General features: G+C 43.0%; 1 protein-coding gene and 2 long non-coding RNA genes across 3 annotated transcripts in view, besides 5 other annotated features; 2 read left to right on the forward strand and 1 right to left on the reverse strand.

The window, feature by feature from the left end:
* The window catches only part of ABCA1 (ATP binding cassette subfamily A member 1), a 147,150-nt gene extending 131,840 nt beyond the window's left edge, over nucleotides 1-15,310 (reverse strand). Inside the window, exon 1 of the mRNA NM_005502.4 lies at nucleotides 15,090-15,310. The gene's annotated coding sequence lies outside the window, so the exon portion shown is untranslated. The remainder of the gene's footprint in view (nucleotides 1-15,089) is intronic.
* LOC124902239 (uncharacterized) lies at nucleotides 4,856-9,697 on the forward strand. The gene is made up of 3 exons (XR_007061706.1): nucleotides 4,856-5,892; nucleotides 6,941-6,991; nucleotides 9,267-9,697. It is a non-coding gene; the product is annotated as an uncharacterized LOC124902239 (long non-coding RNA).
* Nucleotides 11,183-11,232: a silencer, noted in NCBI's record as "silent region_20145". NCBI's record gives its function as "represses an Ori minimal core promoter by ATAC-STARR-seq in GM12878 lymphoblastoid cells {active_cell/tissue: GM12878}" and the evidence as "EXISTENCE:reporter gene assay evidence [ECO:0000049][PMID:35858748]".
* Nucleotides 13,704-13,943: a silencer, noted in NCBI's record as "silent region_20146". NCBI's record gives its function as "represses an Ori minimal core promoter by ATAC-STARR-seq in GM12878 lymphoblastoid cells {active_cell/tissue: GM12878}" and the evidence as "EXISTENCE:reporter gene assay evidence [ECO:0000049][PMID:35858748]".
* LOC105376196 (uncharacterized) lies at nucleotides 13,944-26,246 on the forward strand. The gene is made up of 3 exons (NR_188620.1): nucleotides 13,944-15,065; nucleotides 16,663-16,879; nucleotides 25,907-26,246. It is a non-coding gene; the product is annotated as an uncharacterized LOC105376196 (long non-coding RNA).
* Nucleotides 14,620-14,679: an enhancer, noted in NCBI's record as "active region_28732". NCBI's record gives its function as "activates an Ori minimal core promoter by ATAC-STARR-seq in GM12878 lymphoblastoid cells {active_cell/tissue: GM12878}" and the evidence as "EXISTENCE:reporter gene assay evidence [ECO:0000049][PMID:35858748]".
* Nucleotides 15,000-15,079: an enhancer, noted in NCBI's record as "active region_28733". NCBI's record gives its function as "activates an Ori minimal core promoter by ATAC-STARR-seq in GM12878 lymphoblastoid cells {active_cell/tissue: GM12878}" and the evidence as "EXISTENCE:reporter gene assay evidence [ECO:0000049][PMID:35858748]".
* Nucleotides 15,280-15,469: a silencer, noted in NCBI's record as "silent region_20147". NCBI's record gives its function as "represses an Ori minimal core promoter by ATAC-STARR-seq in GM12878 lymphoblastoid cells {active_cell/tissue: GM12878}" and the evidence as "EXISTENCE:reporter gene assay evidence [ECO:0000049][PMID:35858748]".
* Nucleotides 26,247-27,045: the final 799 nt, after the last annotated feature.

Below are 27,045 nucleotides of genomic sequence, written 5' to 3' on the forward strand. Positions count from 1 at the left end.
ACAATCATAACACCAGAATAAAAGGGATCTGAAGGGAAGGGATTAGTGAATTCATAAACACCCTGAGCTACAGAAACACAAGCAGGCAAGCCTCTATCAGCAACCCTTTATTTGCAGAAAAACTTGGCTGGATAATGTTCCCTGCTGTTATAGGACGGTTTTCCAAGAGAATTTTGGGATAAATGGTTTAGTGACCATATCACCAAAGATCACTTTGTTTGGATTACATCTCTGAAGAATCAGTGTCTTCAGATGTTCAACCTTCTCCCAACCTGAAGGATTTATATTTATGAAAGTGCTCAAAGCATTTGGTGGGGCAGACAAACCCAAATCTTAGTCACTGTCTTTCTTTCTTTTCCTTTGGGTCTATTCTACCATGCAGAAAACTCCCCAAATCCTTAACTCCTTTGTTGTCTTGAGTTAATTGTTTCAGCAGGAAGAAAGGAGGTTTTAGAGTCAGAGAAAGCTGGGTTTGAATCCTGACTCTGCTACTCACCAGCTCTGGAACCCTAGGGACTCTGAGCCCCTGTATCTTCTCCAAAAAATAGAACTGATAATGTATGTAAAACATTTATCCAGTTCCTGGAACAAAGTAAGTGTACAGTAGCTATTACCATGATTAATTCTGGCAATTTCACAGTGAAGTATTCATCAAGGGTGGGACACAGAGTGGGTGGTTTATTAAAGGAATCTCTTTTCTGTATTCTTTGTCCACAGAAAGGGCCTTTCCAGAGCAAACTGGAGCGCTCTCCAGTACCCAGTGCATTGGTAGAGGTGAAAGCATTATACGGTATCCTGTTGCCACTTCTGACCATTGTTTTACTATAAAACCCCCTCTTGGGGGTCCTCACCACTCACTTATACTATTTTCTCTACATTCTCACAGAGGTTGCACCTATCCTCCATAGCACACTGCCACCTCCCTACAAGTTTTTATTTTATTTTATTTATTTATCTATTTATTTATTTAGATGGAGTCTGGCTCTGTCGCCCAGGCTGGAGTGCAGTGGCGCGATCTCGGCTCACTGCAAGCTCCGCCTCCCGGCTTCACGCCATTCTCCTGCCTCAGCCTCCCGAGTAGCTGGGACTACCGACAGCCGCCTGCCAACACGCCCGGCTAATTTTTTGTATTTTTAGTAGAGACGGGGTTTCGCCGTGTTAGCCAGGATGGTCTCGATCTCCTGACCTCGTGATCCACCCGCCTCAGCCTCCCAAAGTGCTGGGATTACAGGCGTGAGCCACCGCACCCGGCCCCCTACAAGTTTTTGGCACCTGACTCAGTTTTCCTGTCCATCCCATTTCCTCCAGCCTCTATGTCCATTAGAAATCTCTATTAGAAATCTGAGCCTTGGCCAGACGCAGTGGCTCATGCCTGTAATCCCTGCACTTTGGGAGGCTGAGGCAGGTGATCACCTGAGGTCAGAAGTTCGAGACCAGCCTGGTCAACATGATAAAACCCCATCTCCACTAAAAATACAAAAAAGTAGCTGGGCATGGTAGTGGGTGCCTGTAATCTCAGCTACTCAGGAGGCTGAGCCAGGAAACCATCAAGTGAGACCATCAAGTCTCACTTGAACCCGGGAGGCAGAGGTTGCAGTGAGCCGAGATCATGCCATTGAATTCCAGCCTGGACAACAAGAGTGAAACTCCATCTTAAAAAAAAAAAAAAAGAGAGAAATCTGAGCCTTATAATTCCTCCATCTTTTCAGCTCTACCTACAATCTTCTCTAGTGTACTAACTCATCAGTGATCCCTGATAAATTAAGCAATGTGCAACAAGCTACTGTGTCTCACCATCTTCCTACTCTCCACTACACTGAACCCACAATGACGCAGCGCTCCACAATCACATGTAGAATGGAAGTAAAACCTCAGCGATAAGAAAAGATAGTTAAAGCAGATTCACTACAGTAACAAACCAGTCAAGAAATGTCACTGAAAGTAAAGGTTTGTGTGACAAAATTTCCAGCTGTGTTCTAAGAAACATAAGTTCAAGCAGGAGTGCATTTAATCTGATTTTTCCTCAAAGCCTCTCTAATTTGTAGGGAAGCACATTCATTTTCATTAACTTCATGTGAGCTAGAGAGAATCTGTGATTGAGGCTCTAGAACCCCTGGTAAACATGCCATCAAGCAAGGGCACCTTCCCCGGAGGTTCAACCTAGAGTATAAGATTGTCAGCACTGGTAAAGAGCCTTGAACTCTAAACCCATAGATAGGCTCAAGTCAGGAACTCAGGGAGCCTATAAACACCTGGATACAATTTTGCCACCTTAACACTTTTATTCCCTTTACTTGCGCCAAACTGAGTTATCCAATCTCCAGGCTCTTGTCCAGTTCTAGTTCATACAGTATCGGCAGCCTTCTCCAGAACGTCCTTTCACCAGCCAGCTCTTGAGACAGTCATATGTCATGTGTGCAAGACACTTCTATTTCTGCAGCCCGGCGAGGGCCAGCTAACTCGGTTAGTGACAATTTAATCAAAGTTCCAGGGCAAGCACAGAGACACAGAGTCTAAGTCTTGCCCTCCAAAACTTACAAGCAAACTCCTTCTTTAGAATAACCAAAACAAACCCTCTCGCTGGCTGCCTCACTAAATTAAGAGAAGAAAGGGGAATAAGATCACAAGTTTAAATCCACTTACTTGTGATTCTGAAAAACAAAAACTTAAGGGTGTTTTTCTTTAAATATTGACTACATGAACTCTATTATATGAGGTCTGAGAGGATCCTACAAAAGGATCTGTATTATTCCAATATTATCAAGATTCTGAGTGTTCCTTATAGAAAAAACTACTGTTATTAAGATTTTCACAAATCAAACATTCTGTGTGCCAAAGAACAAAGTGGGAAAAATGGAACAAAAGTGGGAATAATTCCCAAAAATGGAATTATTGGGTTTCATTTTTGGTAGCCTCCTTCTGTCAACTGTAGTTTTGAAAAATTCACACAATCCAATCCCCCAAGCAACAACGCGCTAAGTGTTTACATCAGGTGAGAGCTGGTGTTGGTCACATATGCTATGAACTAGAATTGGACAATGTCCCAAAACGGAGTGCCATCTGGGGTCAGAGTGCCATGCCCTTCTCTGCAGACTCCAGGGACATATCCACTCTGCTTAATGGAAGCCACTGGAACCAAGTGTCAGACAGCCCTCTATTTGCTCCACAGAGAAGAAAGCCATGCTCTGATCATGTGAAATGTGACTGGAATTGTAAACTGAAAAATGGCACTAATTCCACTAAATTTGCAAATCCTGCAACAAGACTGACAACTTAATAAACAATACTTGACCAAAGGCTTTCTTTCTCGTGAACTCAAGGTTTTCACTATAATTAACACAATCATTAAAGTAAAAAAAAAATAAAAATAAAAACCCTGCCTTGATTCACAGTTAATTTTAAGCAGCCAACATCAACATCGGGTTTCAGGCTTTTGCATAAAGAAACAGCCTTTAGGAAACCCTCAACATTCAGGATTTTGTTCTGATTCAAACTTACAAAGAACAATTTTTAGTTGAGAGAAACAAAAAATTCCAGTTGAAAGACGCCTTAAGATTCAAATTGGACCAACAGACAGGAGAAATAAATGAGGCCAGTCCAATATTTAACATTTCAGTGTCCATTTTAAGCTGAAAGGAACAGACATCTACAGACACAATTTCTTCTTTCTCTCCTATAAAGGGCACTGTAATAGTTATCCTAAATTCTGGTATAGTATGAAGAAGCCTGGATTAAAGAGGCAAGAGACTAAGATTTTAATTTGCAGTTAATGGCAGCTGGAGAATAAATTTAGCACGCCATTCTACCACTGTGGGTAATGGAACAGAAAACAAGTCCTTTTTTTTGTTTCTTGACACAGAGTTTCGCTCTGTCACCCAGGCTGGAGGGCAGTGGCACGATCTGGGCTCACTGCAACTTCAGCCTCCTGGGTTCAAGCAATTCTCCTGCCTCCACCTCCCAAAGTGCTGTGATTACAGGTGTGAGCCACCGTGCCCAGCCAGAAAATATGTCTTTTTGATGAAGAAGCTGAAGTGGATGACCTTCTGAGTCTAAGAAAACTGTTTGGGACTTGGGTATTCAGTAGCCATGGAATATACATCCCAAAGAGCAGAAGAAACCGTAACACTAGACCCCAACATCAAAAATATGTTGCTATTTTCTCCCACATTGCTGGTAGGGGTGCAAACTGGGACACTTTGGCAACTTACATTAAAATGCTATGAGAGAACAGGGGAAGCATTCCTTAAAAGTTCTAGGAAAGGTGTTATGGAGGAGGTAGCATGAGAAATTCAGCCAAGTGGGAAAAGCACAAACCTGGGAGTCAGAGAGACAAGAGTTTGAATCCCTGGCTCTGCCATTAGCCAAATATGGAACCATGAACAAGTTATTTAACTTCTCCTCGGCTCAGGTGCATCATCTGAAATATGGGGCTAATATAATAATAGGCAAGCTCAGTATTTCCCCAAATGTGGGAGAGTTACACAGGATGAATTTAAGTGATATTCAGAGGATTTTAGGAGATGAACAAGCACAGTATTAAACATTGAACCACATCATGAGAAAATATGGTTCTTTTCAGCACTTCTTCAGCCTATATATAACATTCTTAGTACATTAAGGAGTAAGCGGCCGGGTGCGGCGGCTCACACCTGTGATTCTAGCACTTTGGGAGGCCGAGGTGGGTGGATCACCTGAGGTCAGGAGTTGGAGACCAGCCTGGCCAACATGACGAACCCCATCTCTGCTAAAAATACAAAAATTAGCCGGGTGTGGTGGCATGCACCTGTAATCCCAGCTACTAGGGAGGCTGAGGCAGGAGAATCGCTTGAACCCAGGAGGAAGAGGTTGCAGTGAGCCGAGGTGGTGCCACTGCACTCCAGCCTGGGCAACAGAGCAAGACTCGTCTCAAAAAAAAAAAGGAGTAAGCTTTTGTTTAGTCTTCTTTTTGACACCTCTTTAATGCTTGCTAATTCCCTTTTCAACAAAGTAAGAGAAGTCTCATTGTCAGCTGGGGCCTTTGGGAACCAATAGTTTATCTTATACATAGACTGTGAGAAAAATAATTTGTCTTCATCCTAATTATTTTTAAAATTACCTTTCATTTATGATAACTCATATTGGTTTTCCAATTACAGGTCAAATATAAAGTTATTTTAAAATATATTGATGATTACAAAAATTTGAGTCAACTTGAGTGGGCTGAAATGCTACCTATCTCAGAGTTCCAGTGAAAATTAAATGAGATCATATATAAGAAGAACTAGCCCATGCTGTGTTCCATCACCCACGGTCTGGTTGATGGGTAAAATTTCAGTAGGTGAGGAATATGAGCAGAAGATCAAGTGTGAACCAAGGCAAATACATGAGATGGACATGAGATTCCAGAACAATGAGGAGCCAAACAATGCCAGGAAGGGGTTCTTAAAGTAGAAGATGAAAACCTGTAGAGAGAGACTCATTTAACAGGTACCAAACCATACTATATGTTAATCAGTCTGGTGAGAAAACCAGCTATAGTTCCTTCGAGCATGTGTCTTATAATCCAGGACAAAACTATCAAAGTGGGTCACAGTCTTATTTCAAAGAGCCTTGAATGCCAAGCAGAAAGAGATCATTAATGGTGGCAGATTCTTAAAAGTCTTTTGACCTCTGTCCAGCACCTAGTACTTTCCACAGTACATGGTGTTTAACAAACATTTGCTGAACAAATAAATTTGTTTAATAGCACTATAGGTGTATTAGTGCATTTAATTTTCAAATATAAATATGTATTGTTGTTGTTAATATCATATCTTCTTCTTCCTTCTCTCTCACAGTACCAGACAACAGCCTAACCCCAACTAAGGTAAACTCTGCCACCAAACATGCCTGGGAATGGAGAAGGGTCTGCAGGTCAGTGTAAGCTCATCAGTCTGGGCCTTCACTTTCTCCCTGCCTTTCCAAGGAAAGCTGCTGCTTGCATCAGTGTTGCCTTTATGTCAAAGTGTATCACCTAAATACCAGATCCAACAGATTTCAAGCCACCACCCTCCAAAGACTTGCTTCTTCAAGAAAACAAGCGTGGTTTGACTCTTGTGAAAAACAATTACTCCCAACCTGGCATCCTACAAGAATTTTGCAAAGCAAGGGTGAACAGGGATATGACAACCAAACATCTTCCTAGCAGCTCCTTCCCCCTCCCTGCTCCTGGCCAGAAACCTCTTCTTCCTTTTACTCCTTCTTCTTTCCACTTCTAATTTGTTATGATCTCTCAAACAACAAATTTGGTACAGTGCTTTAGAAAGCTTTGTGTCTTACCGACCTACCCCCAGTGAGGGTCTTCTGAGATACTTCAAACTATCCTCATGAGGTATAGTCCAATTCTCCTCCTAGGATGGGTACTAGCATGCTATTCTTGAAGGATGAATGAGCCTGAAGAGTTGGTTATGGTTTCCTTTCATCACCTATTGGCTTAACAGGAGTCCATTATAAGAAGTAAAACTTAGGCCGGGCACTGTGGCTCACATCTGTAATCCCAGCACTCTGGGAAGCCAAGGTGGGCAGATCACAAGGTCAGGAGTTAAAGACCAGCCTAGCCACCATAGTAAAACCCCGTCTCTATTAAAAAAATACAAAAATTAGCCGGACATGGTGGCATACGCCTGTAGTCCCAGCTACTCAGGAGGTTGAGGCAGGAGAACTGCTTGAATCTGGGAGGCGGAAGTTGCAGTGAGCCGAGATTGCGCCACTGCACTCCAGCCTGGGCAACATAACGAGACTCCATCTCAAAAAAAAAAGCAAAACCTACACCCAAAATGATGTCCGAGATGGAGAGTCCAATTTTATTTTAGAGAGATTTTCCAAATGGTGAGTCAGAAGCAAGAACAGTATCTCACTAAATCATGTTTACTCAACTGAAACTTATTGAATTAAACCAACTCCTCCTTCCTTTGCATTTCAGATGAGAACCCCTTCTGGTTCTATGATTCAAATCTTCATTCACTCAAAGCAGGTAAATAGGAAATTTCAACAGCTTCCTCTCCTCCCTCTCATTCCTTTCTTCTGTCATCGATCTGATCAGGAATGCTCTGAGGCATTCCCTGGTTATTTTTTCTTTACCTCTCAAAATCCACATGGTATGTTACACTAATGCCCAGCATGTTCCTCAGATCTCTAGATGGCTCTAATTAAAGGACCACCCCTTCTTCTGAATACAGACCTGGGGTTAGAGGACATAAGAGCTTGAAGGGCTCTTTAAAAGTCAAGTAGTATCATTTTACAGACCAACAACCTAAAAAACAGAAAAGTAAAATGACTTGTCCAAGGTCACATGGCTTAATGGATTTGTGGGCATTCATGAACACCCTGTAATTACACATAAAATTTGGATTATATGAGCCCATGTGTATTTTTTCTGAAGAGAAAATCCGTATCTTTCTTCAAAGAAGTCAACAATCTCTTCCCCAAAATATAGTAACCACTGACAATTATATGCATATTTGAAAAAAAGTTTAACTAAAATTTAATGTTCCAAGTCTGAATAGTAATATGAATTGGTGATCTAGAATAAGAGTGGAACCTAATTTAATAACTGTCATTGTTATCATCTTTTTTTCTTTTCATGTCTGGGATATCAATGCAAGTAACATGGGATAAAGACAATTTGATGTGGAAGTAAACTATAAAGCAAGATTTTTGTTTTGTTTTGTTTTGTTTTTTTGAGATGGAGTCTCGCTCTGTGCAGTGGCACCATCTCGGCTCACTGCAATCTCTGCCTCCTGGGTTCAAGCGATTCTTCTGCCTAAGCCTCCTGAGTAGCTGGGATTACAGGCTTGCACCACCACGCCCAGCTAATTTTTGTATTTTTAGTAGAGACGGGGTTTCACCATGCTGGTCAGGCTGGTCTCGAACTCCTGACCTCATGATCCGCCCACCTTGGCCTCCCAAAGTGCTGGAATTATAGGCAGAAGCCATCGCGCCCGGCCTAAAGCAAGCTTTTAAAATCACTGAAAACACTCGTATGAATAAATTTCACTATAGGCCAAGCATTATATTATACGGTTCACATTATACACAAACACAAATACCTATTTTACAGATGATGAAACTGAGGCAAAGAGTGATCAGCAACTTGCCTAATGTCAGATATCCATTAGTAATAACCAGAATTCCAATCTACATTAATTTGACTCTGATATCCATGTTCTTTTTCACCAATATTTGCATCTATACTCCAAGATGTCCTAATACTAATATTCTATTTACTTATTTAGAAGAACTAAATCAACTCTCTAAGGTAGCTTCAAGGAAGTCTTTCATAAATGGTTCAACTACTAAAAAGTTCTTCCTGGGAAATATCATAAACTAAATACCAGCTATCACAAAATATCTGGACTTTAAGACTAACCAGATAAAATGTTTTGACTTCCAAATGCTTCTTGGAAGTTGGATTTGGCAGAGAAAACACCGGGGAATTTTAAACAAACACCCCCCAAGAAAAGACTTTATAGAAGAATAGATCCAATGCATATGAAGTTACTGTTTTTTAAAAAAGTGTTTAAATCTCTAAATTACTTAGTGAGTCATGTCACTCTTATTAACAAAAATAAATTAATATACAACTCAAAGTACTTGAATATGGAATGCCACAGACTAGAGCATTTTCTTAAATCACAGCTGCCTCAGAAACGGAAATGAAACTGAGCGAAACTGAAATGTTTGTTCTACAAAAAGTAACCTGGCCTAAATAACTTAAGTATGCACTAAAATTTCTCAGTCTAACATAAACCTAGCCTTAACTACAGTTGTTTCTCATATAACTCTATTTCTAATGCTTTTCTGTGATTACCCTGTTATCTTAAGTAGTCTTTTAGAAGACAGGAAGCAAACATGAGCTTCCCATTCTCCTTGTTGGACTTATTCAAGTCAGCATTTATTAAATTTTTTCCATATTAAGTGGGATGAATTAAGGCCAGGGGAGAATGAATCAAAGACCTTCCTCTAGAGAAGCATACACTCAAGAGGAAGACAAATAAATGTTAACTGTAATTAAAAAACAGAATTAAATACATGATACAAAGAGTGCTGTAATCCAAGTCTAATGGAAGTAAAGAGAAGGGGATCTTACTTTCAACTTAGTGATGGGAAGGAGTGGATCCAGAAGAGCTTCATGAGGAGGGAAGCATTTAAATCGGGTCTTAAAGGAGGTTTGCAAAAGCTAAAGGGTTTTGTACCAACTTTGTTTTCAACATGGGAAAGACAGGATTTCAAACTTTATTTTGTTTTAGGAACCAAATCCAGTGCTCCTCCATTGTTGGAATAAATGCTCTTTGCCTGAATGCTATTTGTGGTCTTCGTAGAATGGAGAGTAACTGAAGGCCCCACCGGAAATCAATTTTATGTAAGCTTTTCATTCTCTGGCCTCAAGTATTTCTAAAATGTACCTTTCTATGCAGGCTACTTATTCAGGCAACTATTTTCAGGTGAAGATACTCAAATGAAAATAGAGAATCCCTTTTGGCCTTTTGCTAATATTTCATTTGTCAAAACTTTGATAGTCTGACAAAGTCTTTACCATGAGATTGGTAAACTCACGGAAGCCAAACTGTCTGGGATGCGACTTCAGCTCCACTACTTACGAACTCCATAATAATGTACCTAGCCTGCCTATACCTCAGTTTCCCATCTATAAAGACAATAAAAGCACCTATTTCACTCATGAGAATGAACTGAGTTATTACACGGAAAACTTAAAAACATATCCAACATACCATAAATCAACAGTAAATGTAACTATTTTTACCAAGAGGTGTCTTCAAAGAGTTTATTTCTAATTCATTACACCAATTAATAAGAAAGGCACTTTCTCATCCTATTTCACTTTTACAAGGCAGACATTTTTTTTCAAGACGGAGTCTCACTCTGTCGCCCAGGTTGGAGTAAAGTGGCACGATCTCGACTCAGTGCAACCTCCGCCTCCCAGGTTCAAGCAATTCTTCTACTTCAGCCTCCCAATCCCAGTAGCTGGGATTACAAGCACCCACCACCACGCCCAGCTAATTTTTGTATTGTTAGTAGAGACGGGGTTTCACCATATTTGCCAGGCTGGTCTTGAACTCCTGACCTCAAGTGATCCTCCTGCTTTGGCCTCCCAAAGTGCTGGGAATACAACAATGAGCCAGTGCACCCAGCCAACAAGGCAGACTTTGAAACTGTGTTTATCTTCCAAAAATACGTATATCTTAAGAAAAAACTAAATTTGATTTCTAAACAGTAACAGCAGTAACAGAGAAATAGCTTATTTCAAAAGGTCCACAACTTCATCAAGGACAGGACAAGCAAGAATCATATTGTATTATAACAAATTTTTACAATTCACCAAAGTTAGGTTTTACAACTAAACTAACAGTTCACTTCTCTTTTTCCTTTGTTTCTTAGGCCCTTACAGCCTAATACTCTATCATTCCATTTTCTATAGATCACATAGGAAAACATTTTGAGATCACACAGCTATTCGCAAACATCTGACTGAAGCAATAGTATAGTTTTCATTATGAACCAAGTAAAAAATTGAGTTGAGTAAATTTTATTCTATTCTTTCCAGGATGTTGCAATCCCTACGCAACCAAGGTTTCAAGTTAAAGAGAATTTGGCTGACCCACTCACAGCAACAAGGAAAATATGATACAGGCTGTAGATTCTGATAAGGATTATAGCAGATGAATGTAGAGAATGTGGTGATCATCCTTGAAAAGCTCCCTGGTTGCAGCAGCTGAAATGTTAGTGCTGGAGTTAAAGAACTCTGGCTGGGTTCAAGTCTTAGCTCTGCCTCTTGCAAGGTATATAGCCAGAGAAAAATTAGCTTCTCATTTACTTAATCTTGTAAACTAGGGACAATAAATGGTTTTGTTGTGAAAATTCAATTAGCATTTGATGACCTGCACAGTGGCTTATGCCTGTAATCCCAGCACTTTGGGAGGCTGATGTGGGAGGATCACTTGAGCCCAGGAGTTCAAGACCAGTCTGAGCAAGATAGTGAGACCTTGTCTTTACAAAAAATTGTAAAAATTTAGCCAGGAGCAGTGGTGCGTGCCTGTGGCCCCAGCTCCTTAAGAGGCTGATGTATGAGGATCACGTGAGCGCAGGAGGCTGAGGTTGCAGTGAGCCTTGTCTGTGCAGCTGCACTCCACCCTGTGCAACAGAGCAAGACCCTATCTCAAAATAAATACAATGAATAAACACGTGAAAAACATTTCAAACAGTACTTGCCACACAGTGCTATATAAGTGTCTATTCAACACTGCAATAACTTTGGCCATTCATGGTTGTATCCACATGCAGATACGAAGATGGTTGCATTTTTTGGAGTAGGCCTTCTCTCAGCATAAACAAAACAAGTGTTCAGAATGATCTTTTAACATTTGATGCTAGAGTAAATGACCATAACAACTACTATAATGGTATTATTTATTTAATATCTGGATACTTAAAAAAATGTATTTGAGGCCAGGTGTGGTGGCTCATGCCTGTAATCCCAGCACTTTGGGAGGCTGAGGCTGGCAGATCACTTGAGGTCAGGAGCTTGAGACCAGCCTGGCCAACATGGTGAAACCCTGTCCCTACTAAAAACACAAAAACTAGCCGGGTGTGGTGGCACGCACCTGTAATCCCAGCTACTCAGGAGGTTGAGGCAGGAGAATCACCTGAACCTGAGAGGCGGAAGTTGCAGTGAGCCAAGATCATTCTACTGCGCTCCAGCCTAGGCAAAAGAGCAAGACTCCATCTCAGAAAAAAAAAAAAAAGAAAAAGTATTTGGTTTTAAAAGTATTTTAGAAATGCAAAAACCACATGCATTTTGATATTTTCTAGACATCTAGATATCTTCATAATTAGAAGAGTCTATCTAAGGTAATGTTCACTTATTCTAGCAGCTAAAAATGAAAACAGTGAAGACCTTAATTTGTAGCCACTACATATATAGCTTAAGTATCCCGGCTTACGGGAGAGAAGATCCCTTTAAAAAAAAAATTTAAATGGAAAAATATCCCAACCAACTCCTCTCCAAAAAGGTAAGTACTACAGAAGATAATAAAAAGCTAAGTCACTGAACTTCTTCAGTTTCATTCATTTTTTTATGTTTACAATGGGACTTCCTTGAGCAGAAGGAACCAATCCTTGAAAACAATCAATTCCTGATCACTCTTTTCCAATCCTGCACTAATGCACTGTCTCACACAAACCGAAAATATGTTCTAAGTCAAAATGTGTCCAGGGGTCGGGCGCGGTGCCTCACGCCTGTAATCCCAGCACTTTGGGAGGCCGAGGCGGGTGGATCAAGAGGTCAGGAAATCGAGACCATCCTGGCCAACATGGTGAAACTCTGTCTCTACTGAAAATGCAAAAACTAGCCAGGCATGGTGGCGTGCGCCTATAGTCCCAGCTACTCAGGAGGCTGAGGCAGGAGAATCTCTTGAACCCAGGAGGTGGAGGTTGCAGTGAGCCATATCGTGCCACTGCACTCCAGCCTGGGAAACAGAGCGAGACTGCATCTCAAAAAAAAAAAAAATGTGCCCAGGGTCCATTATAGGCCTGCACTCGTAGAAATACGAGGGTTGAGATTTCAAATGCTCATCTGCAGGGGAGACAACATATCACACGTGTCCAGGTTACAGTCAGATATGTCATTCTGGAACACTATGCGGGTGCTCAAATACAGACTCCTAAATTGCTCTGACAACAGTAGCAATTCTAGTCCCTTAAATGGCTTGTAGTCATCGTGAAGGCTGAAGACCCACTTCCCCGGTCCTTCTGATTGTAAACCAATGTTTTCCTAAAATTCCCTAGCATTAATTATTTTAATGGTTTGTGGAATTATTTAATGGTTTGTGGAAGCACTTGGGAAACAGGCTGACAATGGAAACTTTGTATTTGAAAAATATTGTAATATCTGTAGAGGTTCTACTCAGGAATACTTTCCATGCTTCCATACTTTCTCTGATTTAGGAGAAAGTTTCTCAAGAGAATGATACTCTCAACAGAAACGGAAAGTTTCTCAACAGAAAGCCTCCATTATTTTTGTGGTAGGTATGAGAAGAATAGGTTGAAATAAAAGGGGAGATGAAAACTTAAGGACTTTAAGTTTTGTTTGAAAAGAAGATCATAATTTAAGTCTGGGTTCTAAACTACGGCCGTTAAAAAAAAAAGAAAAAAAAATCAAGAAAATTCCACTCTTTAACTTGGGGGAAATTTTTGTGAGGTTCTCTTCGTGGGAAGCAGGGATTCGGCCATGGAGGGCAAGTGACTTGCTGATTTCAGTACCCAGAAGGTTTTTTTAAATATGAAATTTGTCCACTATGAGATGAATGTGTATATACTACCCATTCTCTTCTTGAAGTGTCAATGAAAAGTCGGATTTTAAAAGCTAATGGTATCAGTGCTGCAAAGGCAGGCCAATTACTGCCAGTGCCAGACAACTTTTTTCTTTGTTTATTTTTAATCTTATTTCTTTGCTTCTTTTTGATAAAAGATATACCTAAAGAGGCACCTACACATAACCCTGGCACCGTCCGCCGCCCCAAGAACCTTCCTGCTTTACCAATGGCCTGGGAGTTGGCAAACACGCTAACAAAAAAAAAAACCAAAAAAACAAAAAAAAAAAAACAAAACGGGCTTTCGCCTCAACCTCATAGTTCCTCCCCGTCTGCAACCACCGGTCTTCACCGGATTCACAGTCGGAACCGCGAGCAAAGACACCTAGTAGAGCCGGCCGATTCCTAGGTCCTCCGGCCAGGAGGCGCTGCGGGCCAGTCTCCGGGGGCCACCGCAGCCCGCGCGCCCAGCACCCCCACCCTCACGGCAGAGCCCAGCCCAGCCCCGCGGCGGAGCTCCGAGTTCTGCGCCGCCCGCCGGGGTTACTCCCGGTCATTCCACGGCACCACCTCGGCCCAGCTTCCCCATCTGCGCCCAGGCAGAAGCTGCCCCGAGAGACCAGCAGCAACGGTCTGGAAGATGGGGCTGCAGGGAACGTGGGAGAGGGAGGATTGGGCACCCCACCTCCGGGTCTCCGCAGGCTCTCCTAAGTCTTGTTTTTAAAAGAAACAAAACTCGGCCGCGCGCGGTGGCTCACGCCTATAATCCCAGCACTTGGGGAGGCCGAGGCCGGTGGATCACCTGAGGTCGAGGGTTCGAGACCAGCCTGGCCAACAAGTTGAAACCCCGTCTCTACTAAAAATACAAAAATTAGCTGGATGTGGTGACGCGCCTGTAATCCCAGCTACTCAGGAGGCTGAGGCAGGAGAATCGCTTGAACCCGGGAGGCGGAGGTTGCAGTGAGCGGAGATCGTTCCATTGCACTCCAGCCTGGGCGACAGACCGAGACTTAAAGGAAAGAAAAAAAAGAAAAAGAAAAGGAAACAAAACTCGTCCGCGCTCTGCGCCAGGGACACCAGCTCAGCTGAGCGCACGGAGACTGTAGGCAGGACCTCCCTACCCCTCAGGTCAAACAAAGACCCAAGGCCTCTAGTGAGCAATAGCACCACGGACCGTTTGGGACACCTCCAACTCGAGTTCCCGGATTCACAGTCCGGGACTGTGCCGCTCCAGTCCCGGGGAGCATATAGCCAATTCCCAGGTCAGAACAGACCAGCTTCTTAAGAACCGAGTGAAGACTCAGTGCTGGCATTTGTCTCCGTAGGTACTGGCCGACCTGCAACCAGAAGGGTTTCTAGCCAGCTCAGGGCCCTCCGAACAAAGCAGCGCTCGGTGCCGGACCTGCAGCTCTCCCCACCCGGCAGCAGCGCCCTCAGCACGCCCGGGAACCCCCGACCCCTCTGAGCCCGGGGTACTGCGCCCGGGTCTCCACGCCCAGAGATGCTCCCCGGTCTCCACCGTCGGGCAAGCCCCAAGCGCAGCAGCGCAGAGTCCTGGGGTCACCAGAGCTCGTACTAGGACATCGTCTCCCCATTTAACACCGCCTCCGGTCCCATCTGAGTTGCAAGTGGTGGGGATGTGGGGCTCCGGATCAAAGTCCCCGAAACCGAGCACTTCCCGAAGCCTCCTTGGCCTCGAAACAAAACAATAACGCCCAAGTAAGTCACTGGAGAGCCTCTTACCTGTTTTCCACTTTTGTGTTTGCGTCTCTTTCTCCTACCCCTTGACAAGCCTTCCGGAGAAGGGGAGAAAACAGAACCGGGGAAAAAACAAGGAGCAAAGCGCCCTGAGAACCGGCTCTGTTGGTGCGCGGAGCTCCCCGCCCTGCCCTGCCGCAGCCCGGGAGAGAAGGGTCGGCTCGGCTCTGCGGGTCCCGGCCCCACTCACTCTCGCTCGCAATTACGGGGTTTTTGCCGGGACTAGTTCCTTTTATAGATTCGGCTGCACCGAGCGCAGAGGTTACTATCGGTCAAAGCCTGTGCTCTCCCTCCTCCCCGCCCCGTTCCCGGCCTCTGTTTATGTAGTTCAGTCACTCAGCAGAAAGCACGTGGAGCCGGGGCCCGCCCCTTAAACGGGCGACGTTCAGCCGCCCACGACACATCTAGGGAGTTGGGGGGAGGTGGGTGGGGTGGGGGTGGAGGGTACAGCAGGTGTCTTAGGGTCCGCGGTCTGCGTCCCCTTCCCCCGCCCGGGCCCGCCGGCCTAAGACGCGCGGGAAGCGCTGGGCTCGGGGCTGCGCCGCAGACTCTCTAGTCCACGTTCCCGGCAGCCAAGGGCACCAGTGGAATTTGCTTCCTCTAAATCCTGCTTTCCGCAATTTTTTTTTCCTTTGTTAGTTTCCTCAGCCGGAGGGAGGGATTGGGGGAGAGAGAGCTCTAGGCTGAATCTCCCTCAGGACGCCAATCATTTTGTCTTGTCTTTTGTTTCCTTTCAAAGGCCTAGGCTGGGGTGAGGGGAAGGCGGACAGTCCTCTGGGTAATGGGCTGCTTTTGTTTTCCCCCCACAAACCTGGACTTTGATTTTTGATAGGCGACCTACTGCCTTGGAGATTCCCAGCCTGAGCTCCCCAGGTCCCTCAGAGGACCCGAGAGGAACATCTTACTGCTTCTCTTCATAAATTGAGAGGAAGGAGGCCACAAAAACAAAAAAAGAAACAAACAAACAAAAACACAGAACAATATGGACCAGCCCCCTTTTAATTTCATTATATTGATCAGCCTCCCTGTGATAAAAACACAGGACTTGTATTTAGTTTGTATACATTTGTGAAGTGCAGCCAGAGAATTGCAGTCGTGTAAAATTATGTAGCCACTCCAGACCTCCAACTTATCTGTTTGCCTTTGGCTGTAGGGGAGCAAAACTACCCAAAACACTGGAGGGGCAAAAAAAAAGGCAAGAGTAGGAATGCAGGCCTACACACCATATGTCTAAATATTTAAGTCATCCATCAAGCCAACAAACTAAATGTCACCTTATTCTGGCCAAAACTCAGGTCAAACTGTGAAGAGTCTAAATATGAATCTGCCCTGAAGGGCAGATTCATAGAAGACTCAGGACAGACCCGTAGAAGAGGCCCAAGCAGGCCCTGGAAGTGCACGTGGAGGCCACAAGGTCTCCTACCTTGACAAAGATACCTTTGTAGCCACCTTGAAGGGCAGATTCACATTTAGACTCTTCACAGTTTGACCTGAGTTTTGGCCAGAATGAGGTGGCATGAGAGAGCTGCCCCAAGCCTACTTCTCTTCCCACCTCCAGCTCCATCATATTCCAGAACTCCCACCACCTGCATACAGACATTCAGCTGCACAAGCCCCCTCCATGCTACAGTCAACAGGATCTCCAGGCCACGGCTCAAGCCCAGGTACTCACATCAGTGGTTCTATCAACACTCAGGACAGACCCATAGAAGAGGCCCAAGCAGGCCCTGGAAGTGCATGTGGAGGCCACCAGGCAAGGAATTCTGGAGTCCCAGGTACTCATAACTCTGGGTGGCATGGCCCCTTTGCACCATGGACTGTTTGCCCTTAGAAAGGGATGGATCTGAGCTGGGCGCAGTGGCTCATGCCTGTAATCCCAGCACTTTGGGAGGCCAAGGTGGGCAGCTCACCTCAGGTCAGGAGTTCGAAACCAACCTGGCCAACATGATGAAACCCAGTCTTTACTAAAAATACAAAAATTAGCCAGATGTGGTGGCGAGCGCCTGTTATCTCAGGAGGCTGAGGCAGGAGAATCGCTTGAACCCGGGAGGCAGAGGTTACAGTGAGTCGAGATCATGCCACTGCACTCCAGCCTGAGTGACAGAGCAAGACTCCGTGTCAAGAAAAATAAAAAGAAAGGGATGGATCTCAGAAAGGCCAGAGATGAGCTTTCTAAAGCCCAAGGCCCAGGAGAGCGGACCCCCTTGCCTCAGTCAAAGAATAACCTTGGTCAATAAATTGGGTTTTGGGGTCAAACTTGACAACCACATGATGAGCAATTTACGTAAAGTCTTTCTGCCTCTGTTTCATCTTGTTTTTTTCTTTTTTCATCTTTTTTTCCTTCCTTCCTTCCTTCCTTCCTCCCCCCCTCCCTCCTCCCCTCCCCTCCCCTCATCTCCTCTCCTCTCCTCTTTCTTTCTTTCTCTTTCATTTCTTTTTTTTGAGACAGGGTCTTGCTCTGTCTACCCAGGCTGGAGTGCAGTGATCCAATCATGGCTCAGTGTAGACTTGACTCCCTGGGCTCAAGCGATCCTCCCACCTTAGCCTCCCAAGTAGCTGGGACCACAGGTGCATGCCACCACACCCATCTAATTTTCGTATTTTTTTTGTAGAGACAGGGTTTTGCCATGTTATCCAGGCTGGTCTCAAACTCTGGAGCTCAAGCGATCCTCTGGCCTCAGCCTCCCAAAGTGCTGGGATTACAGGCATTAGCCATTGTGCCCGGCCTGTTTCTTCATCTTTAAAATGGAGAGAAGATGTATATTCTGTCTTCCTCAAAGGGGTTTTCTGAAAGTGAACTTTGTTGAAACCTTTGAGCTCCTTGGCAGAATGATGTTATAAAAGCAGAGAGTGTTATTAAAAGGTGTTATCTTTCCTAGCATGATTTTAGAGAGTAATTAGATCTCCCTGACCCTCCATCTCCTCTCTCCTTCTTCTCCTACCTATTTGAAGTCGACCACCAAAATCATTATTTTTTTTTTAATTGAGATGGAGTTTCACCTTTTGTTGCCCAGGCTGGAGTGCAATGGTGCGATCTGGGCTCATTGCAACCTCCACCTCCCGAGTAGCTGAGATTACAGGCACCTGCCACCATGCCCGGCTAATTTTTTATATTTTTTAGTAGAGACGGGGTTTCACTATGTTGGCCAGGTTGGTCTCAAACTCCTGACCTCAGGCGATCCACCTCAGCCTCTCAAAGTGCTGGAATTATAGGTGTGAGCCACTGTGCCCAGCCCAAAATCATTCTTTTTGGAATTTTGAAGCATATAATTCCAAAAGGTATGAAGGTAATCACTTAGATTGCTCTAATAAGGGAATGGGAACAGTTAAGTCCTATACAAATAAGACAAAGATAAGATACTACAAAAAGGGGATGAGCCCAAGAAAAAAATCAAAGTCCCAGAGAGAGAACAGCCATTGATTCTAAATACACAAGTCTATGGCCCCAACCCAAACTTGTTTCACTAAGAACAACCTGTGGTTTCGAGAATCTGGTCATCCCCCACAGTGAATACATGAACACATTGTAATGTTTGAAATGTTTATTTTTCTTGTTGATTTCTTACTGTTAGAAGAGCTAAGTGATTTGGCCCAAAGTGGCTAAGTGATTCGGCCAGTTTGTACACAGGGATATAAGTTTGCTGACACCAAGCTCATACTTTACAAATGTAATATCTTCATAAAACAAAAATACTGGGCCGGGCGCGGTGGCTCACGCCTGTAATCCCAGCATTTTGGGAGGCCGAGGCGGGCGGATCATGAGATCAGGAGATCGAGACCATCCTGGCTAACAGGGTGAAACCCCGTCTCTACTAAAAATACAAAAAATTAGCTGGGCATGGTGGCAGGCGCCTGTAGTCCCAGCTGCTCGGGAGGCTGAGGCAGAAGAATGGTGTGAACCTGAGAGGCAGAACTTGCAGTGAGCCCAGATCACACCACTGCACTCCAGCAGAGCAAGACTCAAAAATATATATATACTGAATCTCAAAAGCTAGAGCCTAAGAGATGCCCCTTAAAAAAGAAGCTTACAAGTGTGAATTTTCTTCCCTCCAGCCCTTAGGTTGGTTTGTCTTTTAGTATATTTCAATAAGCTTCCCCCTCCCCATCCCATCCCTGCCCCCCACACCAACACCAAAACCCCAAGTCCCTCCTCTAGGTGACTCCTTCCAAATACATAGGAAGGCCCTCCTTTGTTGCTGTTTTTCTGGAGAGGCTGATTCTGTAAATGTAGCCTGGGTGGCTTGAGGTTCTATTCTGAGATGACCCTGGCATCTTCTAATTACAGAATCAACCTTCAGGCAGCTGTGGCCTTGCAGACTCTGCTGGAGGTCATGGAACTACAGAAAAGCTCAATCTTATCATTCTATTGAGGCTTTTAAATTGGAGATTACCTAAATGGCATTGTTTGGAGGTTGCTTTGATATATGTTAACTCATCTGCATAAATGTACATGTACACATTGTTTAAAATACCAATGATACTGGTTGCTAGAAACTCTGAAAAAATAGAGTAATGCAGGAAGTCAATGAAGAATAAAAAATAATATATTTTAAAATGATGTTTTAAGATGAATTTGTTATGATTAAGAAGACCTGGTGGGGCACGGTGGCTCATGCCTATAATCCCAGCACTTTGGGAGGCCAAGGCGGGCAGATCACTTGAGGTTAGGAGTTTGAGACCAGCTTGGCCAACATAGTGAAAACCTGTCTCTACTAAAAATACAAAAATTAGCTGGGCGTGGTGGTTTGCACCTATAGTCACAGCTACTCGGGAGTCTGAGGCAGGAGAATCACTTGAATCAGGGAGGTGGAGGTTGTGATGAGCCGAGATTGTGACACTGCATTCCAGCCTGGGCAACCCAGCAAGACTCAGTCTCAAAAAAAAAAAAAAAAAAAAAAAAAAAGACAAATGCCTAATAGCTGAAATCTTAGAGATTTTCTGGAGAGTGAGAAATGCCTTAAAATAAAATAAATAAATAAATAAAAAATAAGAGGGATAAAAGGACCTGCAGTTCAAATTGAGTCAGCTTAATTCCAATACACAGTTAGACACAGAAACAAATCGAGCAATCAATGGTCAAATAAAAATGTACCAGGAACCATCATTATTTGTGCAGTAGACCGTGTATTGCAGAGGCTCTCAATCAATTCAATTTAATTGGACCAATGTGATCCTCTTCTGTATTAATGTGGCTCCTGTTGACATGCAAGCAAGATTCAAAATTATTATTGCTTCTGGACTTGAGTAAGATGTTTGTTCTGTTTGTCATTGGGATCAAGAGGTTAGCCTTGGCTGGGCACTGTGGCTCTGGCCTGTAATCCCAGCACTTTGGGAGGTTGAGGCGGGTGATCACTTGAGGTCAGGAATTTGAGACCAGCCTGACCAACATGGTGAAACTCATCTCTACTAAAAATTCAAAAAAAATTTAGCCATGCATGGTGGTGCATGCCTGTAGTTCCAGCTACTTGGGAGGCTGAGGCAAGAGAATTGCTTGAACTGGGAGGCAGAGGTTGCGGTAAGCCAAGATCATGCCACTGCACTCCAGCCTGGGTGACAGAGCGAGACTCCGTCTCAAAAAAAAAAAAAAAAAAAAGTTAGCCTGCTGGATTACAGACAAGTACTGCATATTCCACTGGATTTCTAGTTGATTAGTGAGTGATAATTCTTTTTAAAAACCACCCTTCCAACCCTCTTTCCTTCAAGCTATCCCCTTAAGAGCCAAACTGCTGGAAAGATTTCATCTCTACCCCCTCCCTTTTATTAACACCTCACCCACTGCAGTCAAATTTTCACTCTCACAGCTCTGAATCTATTCTGCCCAAATTCATTAACGACTTCCTTAGAGAGAGAGAGGCCAGGGACGGGTTGGGGGGGCAAATGTGATCTCTTTTTTTCTTTTTCTTTATAAAATATTTTTAACATAGAAAAATAAAGAAAAATATCTTAAGCTCAGAAAAACCGCTTAATTGGTGGTGCTGTTGACCTCTTTTAAATCCTTAGGCTATTCAGTCTCTGGTATTTGACACTACTGACCACACTTTCCTTCCTGAAACTGATTCCTCTCTTTTATTTCATGAATCTGGTTCTCTTCTGATTCTTCTGCCTCTTTAACCACTCTTTTTCTGACTATTGTTTCTTTATAGATCTCCTAATACTGGTTTTCTCTTTTCATTTCTACTTGCTCTCCTCATCAATATTATTCACGCCCTTGGCTTCATTTAAGCCCTGTACCTCCAGCTCTTGTCTCCTTGCCAGGCTCACCCACCGTGCGCCCTATGCTGCCTGGTAGAATATCCAGCAGCATGGTGTGTTGGAGCCAGCACACAAGCTCACAAGAGTTGTTTTTGCATATCTCTTTTTGTTTGTTTGTTTGTTTGCATATCTCTACCAGCTAGCTTGAAATCGGCCAACGGCATGAATATTACACCATTGGAAATCCAATATAAATCAGTGTCGATGAAAAGAGTAAAACTCTGTAAAATATTTAGAGATTTATGGTGAGCCAAATATGAGTGATCTTGGCCCTCAGGAGACAGCCCTCAGGAGATCCTAAGAACATGCACCCAAGGTGGTTGGGGTGCAGCTTGGTTTTTAGGGAGATATGAGACTTCAATCAAATAAGTTTAAGAAATACATTGGTTCAGTTCAAAAAGGCAGGGCAACTTGAAGTGGGGGCTTCTAGGTTATAGATAGATTTAAAATTTTTCTGGTTGACAATTGGTTGAGTTTATCTAAAGACCTGGGATCAATAGAAAGGAAATGTCTGGCTTAAGATAAAGGATTGTGGAGACCAAAGTTCTCAGTGTGCAGAGGAAGCCTTCAGGTAGCAGGCTTCAGAGAGAATAGATTGTAAATGCTTCTTAACAGACTTAAGGTCTGTGTTGATGTTAATGCCAGAGAGGCATAATGAGGCCTGTCCGACCCCCACTTCCCGTCATGACCTGAACCAGTCTTTCATGTTAAATTTTAAGAGTGCCCTTGCAGAGGAGGAAGTTCATTCAGATGGTGAAGGGGGGCCTCAGAATTTTATTTTTGGTTTACATCAGGGTTTTGTTTGGTTTGGTTTTTGTATGGAAAGCCACTTGTTAACATTTATTAGGACAAAATTTTGCAGGTCATTCTACAAGTAAATCCAAAACAAACAAATTTCTTGTCTTTCCTTCAAATCTCCTTCTACCATCTGCCTTTTTAAAAATTTTCATTTAATGATATCATCATCCAGACATTCACTATGGGAAATCATAGTCATCCTTGCTTAACTTTTTCATCTGTCTCTATCTTTCTCTTCTCATTTGAAAAAGCACCAAGGTCAGGTCAAGTATACCTCCCAAATATTTTATTTTTTTAATTCATCATTTATTTTTCATTCCCAGTGTCTAAGTCCAAGCCAAACATCTGGGCTTCTGTATTGCAGAACCTCCAAACTGCTGTTCCTGTCTCTAGTTTCTTCCCCTTCCTATTTGTCTTCCCTATTGCAGTAAAGTGATTTTTTGCTTGGGGAAAAAAACAAACAAGCAAACCAACACAAAAACAATCTAATCATATATTTTCTCCCTCCAAAAAAAAAAATTTCTTTTTTTTTGAGATGGAGTCTCACTCTGTCTCCCAGACTGGAGTGCAGTGGCACAATCTCAACTCATTGCAACATCTGCCTCCCGGGTTCCAGCAAGTCTGCTGCCTCAGCTGCCCGAGTAGCTGGAGTTATAGGCACATGCAACCACATCCAACTAACTTTTTGTTTTTTCAGTAGAGACGGGGTTTCACCATTTTGGCCAGGCTGGTCTCGAACTCCTGACCTCAAATGATCCACCTGCCTCTGCCTGCCACAGTGCTGGGATTACAGGCGTGAGCCACCGCGCCCAGCCCATCCCTCAAAATTTACTATGGTTCTCCTTTGCTCACAAAGGAAAAATACCCTCAAAGTTCTGTAAGAAGACCTACAAAGCCTCTGAAAACAAGATATTGGAAGGCCTTTGAAGCCTGATCATATGACCTGCTTCCTCCTCCATCCTCTTCCATCCATCCACACCCCACCCCTTACTCACCCCCATTCTACCAACTCACGACTCTCATCATACTTTCCCATTGCTTGGAAATGCTTCCTCTCATCTCCACTCCTGTCGTCCTGTTATGCTTTTATTCTAGAAGCAGTAGGAAAGAGGGGCAGAAAAAAGAAATTCACTTCCCTCATTAAATGGAAAGTTGTGAGATAGAGGGTATATGAAGAAAGAGAGAGAGATTTTTAAGTATCCAAATTGATAGGCAAATATTACCCCCAACTCAGATCCATTATCAAGTGTAACAATAGATTCACAGAAGCAGTCAGTACCCTTAAATTTGCCAAGAAAATAATTGGACTCAGGGGATTAAAAGAAATCAAGCGCTTATTATAATAGAAGTAGTGCATCTGCGTTTCTTTCCTTATTCAGAGTACTTTTTTGACACTTAAGAATCCATATTCCTGGCTGTGATTTCTGGGATGAGGGACTGTTTTATTTCTTAGCCAGGAGCTTTTCTTTTCTCTGACATATTAATAAGAGAGTAAGTCATTAGAAAAAAAAAAAATCCTAGGAAATGTTCCAGATACTGTTTTCTATTAGACTTCTAGAGAGACAATCCTCTTTCTCTTTCAGCATTTTGGGAACGATTTCTTCAGGAGTGCATGGTTTTTCCTTTGTTGCCCTCAATAGTCTGTGTTGTTTTGACCCATCCTTGCCCAGTATTCCTTATGACTTCTGGAATTGTCTGGACAGAAGAAATACTTTTGCCTTGTCAAAGGTTAAATGTGGAGATGTGCTATGACCCCACTGTGGGAGCAGGCCTTTTATTTTCCTTCTGTATCTCCATTCTTCTGGTGACTGACGTCCAGTGAAATTAGAGCAATTTCTTAGCTGGCTACTTGTCCTGGTGTGTAAATTAGTGAGGAATGAGCTCCATTCATAGAGTCCTGGGCTTGCCACAGAGCGGACCCCAAAGCTGGTTTCCCCTTGAGTGGCTCAATTACCTAACAGAGTTCAACAGGAAGCCCCCACATCTGCCTACTCACCACTGGGATTGGAAGCCCTGGACACACTGCCTGAATGAGAACAGAAAGCTAAGTTGGGGGTGCAGTCTTAAGGTATCTAAGGAAAATAGAATAGGAGGTTGGGGAAAAGAGGGAAAATAATGTAATCATACTCATAAAAACTGAGGGTGTTAGTAGGGTGCAAAGAGGCCCAACATTCTGATAGTTTAGCAAAATGTATCAAGAGGCTTTGGTCCAGGACCAGTGGCTCATGCCTGTAATCCCAGCACTTTGGGAGGCCGAGGCATGCAGATCACCTGAGGTCAGGAGTTTGAGACCAGCCTGACCAACATGGAGAAACCCTGTCTCTACTAAAACTACAAAATTAGCCAGGCATGGTAGTGCATGCCTGTAATCCCAGCTACTCAGGAGGCTGAGGCAGGAGAATTGCTTGAACCTGGGAGGAGGAGGTTGTGGTGAACCGAGATCACACCATTGCACTCCAGCCTGGGCAACGAGAGCGAAACTCCGCCTCAAAAAAAAAAAGCCTTTGGCCCACTAATTTTACTTGGAGGAATTTATACTAAGGAAATATCCGATAGTATGGTAAAAAAAACTTATGTTCAAGAATGTTGTCACTATTTTATTGATGAGTGAACATTTTAAAAATGCTTAATCATCTGATAACAATTCTAAAATACACATTGATAAATTCACATGATAGAATGTTATATAGCCATGAAAGGTGAAAATAATGTTTTCAAAGAGTTGTGATATAGGAAACTGCTCATGGTAAATGCGAATTGAAAAAAAAAGCAAAGCTATATTTATGTGTATGGTTAACATTCAATAAAAAATAACTGTTACTATATTGATAACCTTTTTCATTGAATATATGTGCCTAGAAAAGACTGCAAAAAAAAAAAAAAAAGAAAAAGAAAAAAGAAAAAAAAAATCCCAGATAGGTGCTAACAGCAATCACCTGTGGATGGTAAGATTATAGGTAATTTTTTCATATATGTCTGTATTTTACAAAATTTATAAAATAAACACATGCTATATATATGTATACACACACACACACACACACACACACACACACGTAAATATTTATATATATATATATATATATACTTTATTTTTTGAGACAGGGTCTCACTCTGTTGCCCAGGTTGGAATGCAGTGGCCCCATCTCGGCTCACTGCAACCTCCACCTCCCGGGTTCAAGCGATTCTCCTGCCTCAATCTCCTGAGTAGCTGGGACTACAGGTGCCCATCACCATGCCCGGCTAACTTTTTTTTTTTGTAATTTTAGTTGAGACAGGGTTTCACCATGTTGGCCAGGCTGGTCTCAAACTCCCAACCTCAGGTGATCCACCCGCCTCAGCCTCCCAAAGTGCTGGGATTACAGGTGTGAGCCACCATGCCCAGCCTTATATGCTATTTTTAAATTTAGAAAAATGATATGAAAAATAGAGTTTTTCAAAAAAAAAAAGAAAAATAGAGTTTGTCAATAATTAGTAGGAGGAAAGAGTTTATAAATGAAGAAAGGCAAACAAGAAATTAACACATGGAAACAGCAAATCCTAACATATTTTAAAAGCATGTGTACATAGTAACAAAGAACAGAAGAGAATTTGGAGAGACAAAAATAGTTAAGACAGATTTGATGAGTAGGTAAACTGTAAAAGAAAATAGAATTTTAGACCAATCATAAGAGTTTACTACTAAATGAAAGTCCTGTGTGTTTAAACCTTTCTGCTTATCTGATCTTCTGACTTATCCTTCTTATCTGCAGATCATATCTGGGTGTCCATCAGCATGTTACTTCACATCTCTGTACCTCAGTTTATTCATCTTTCAAATGGAAGCAACATATAGAGCTGCCTTATAGAGTTGCTCTGGGTATTAGATGTATAATATATGTGAACTGCTTGGTACTGGGCCTGGTATATGGTATGTGCTCAATAAATGATAGTTGTTTATTATTGTCATTTATTATCATCATCATCATCATCATAATTAAATATTATTCCAAGCAACAATGTGTTCCTCATAGTCCAACAATAATTTAATAAATGTAACCTTTCCAAAACTCCGATCTGCAAATTTTAAATAAATATTTTCAATTAAATTAATCAGTATGAATTATTCACCAGCCTGGAGTTCAAATATGGTCTGCCTCTCTCCTCTCTCTCTGTCTCAGATGTGGGAGTCTTGCTTTCTCACCCAGGCTAGTGTAAAATGGCACAATCATAGCTCACTGCAGCCTCTAACTCCTGGGCTCAAGGGATCCTCCTGCCTCAGCCTCCTAAGTAGCTGGGATTACAGGCACGCACCACCACGCTTAGCTGATTTTTTAAAATTTTATGTTTAGGGACGGGGTCTCACTATGCTGCCCAGACTGATCTCAAACTCCTGGTCTCAAACAATACTCCCACCTCAGCCTCCCAAGTCACTGGGATTACAGGCACAAGCCACCACGCCCATCTCTCATATTTCTTTTTAATTTCCTATCTACTCACCCAAATACCCACCCATTTATTAGCAGAAAGTCCAGTATCTCTTTCATGTGATACCTCTCCCTCCTCTTTCTCTCTCTCGCTCCCCCTCCATCTATCAGAATTGCCTCAAAGCCCTGGGGTTCTAGAGATACGGGAAATCCAATCTGTTCACCATCGTGCACCATATTTTCAGTGGTCAGTTGTGCTGTCACTAGCATACAGTAGCATCACTGAAGACTAGTTGCACACCAGGGGCCCACTGGCCACACCCAGCTCTCTGACACATGGTTTGGGCTGAAGAGTGTTAGTATTTTGTTTGAAATAACCAACTAGGGCCGGGCGCAGTGGCTCACACCCATAATCCCTGCACTTTGAGAGGCCTAGGCAGATGGATCACCTGAGGTCAGGAGTTCGAGACCAGCCTGACCAACAT

This window comes from Homo sapiens, chromosome 9, assembly GCF_000001405.40.
Source record: "Homo sapiens chromosome 9, GRCh38.p14 Primary Assembly".
NCBI classification, from domain to species: Eukaryota; Metazoa; Chordata; class Mammalia; order Primates; family Hominidae; genus Homo; species Homo sapiens.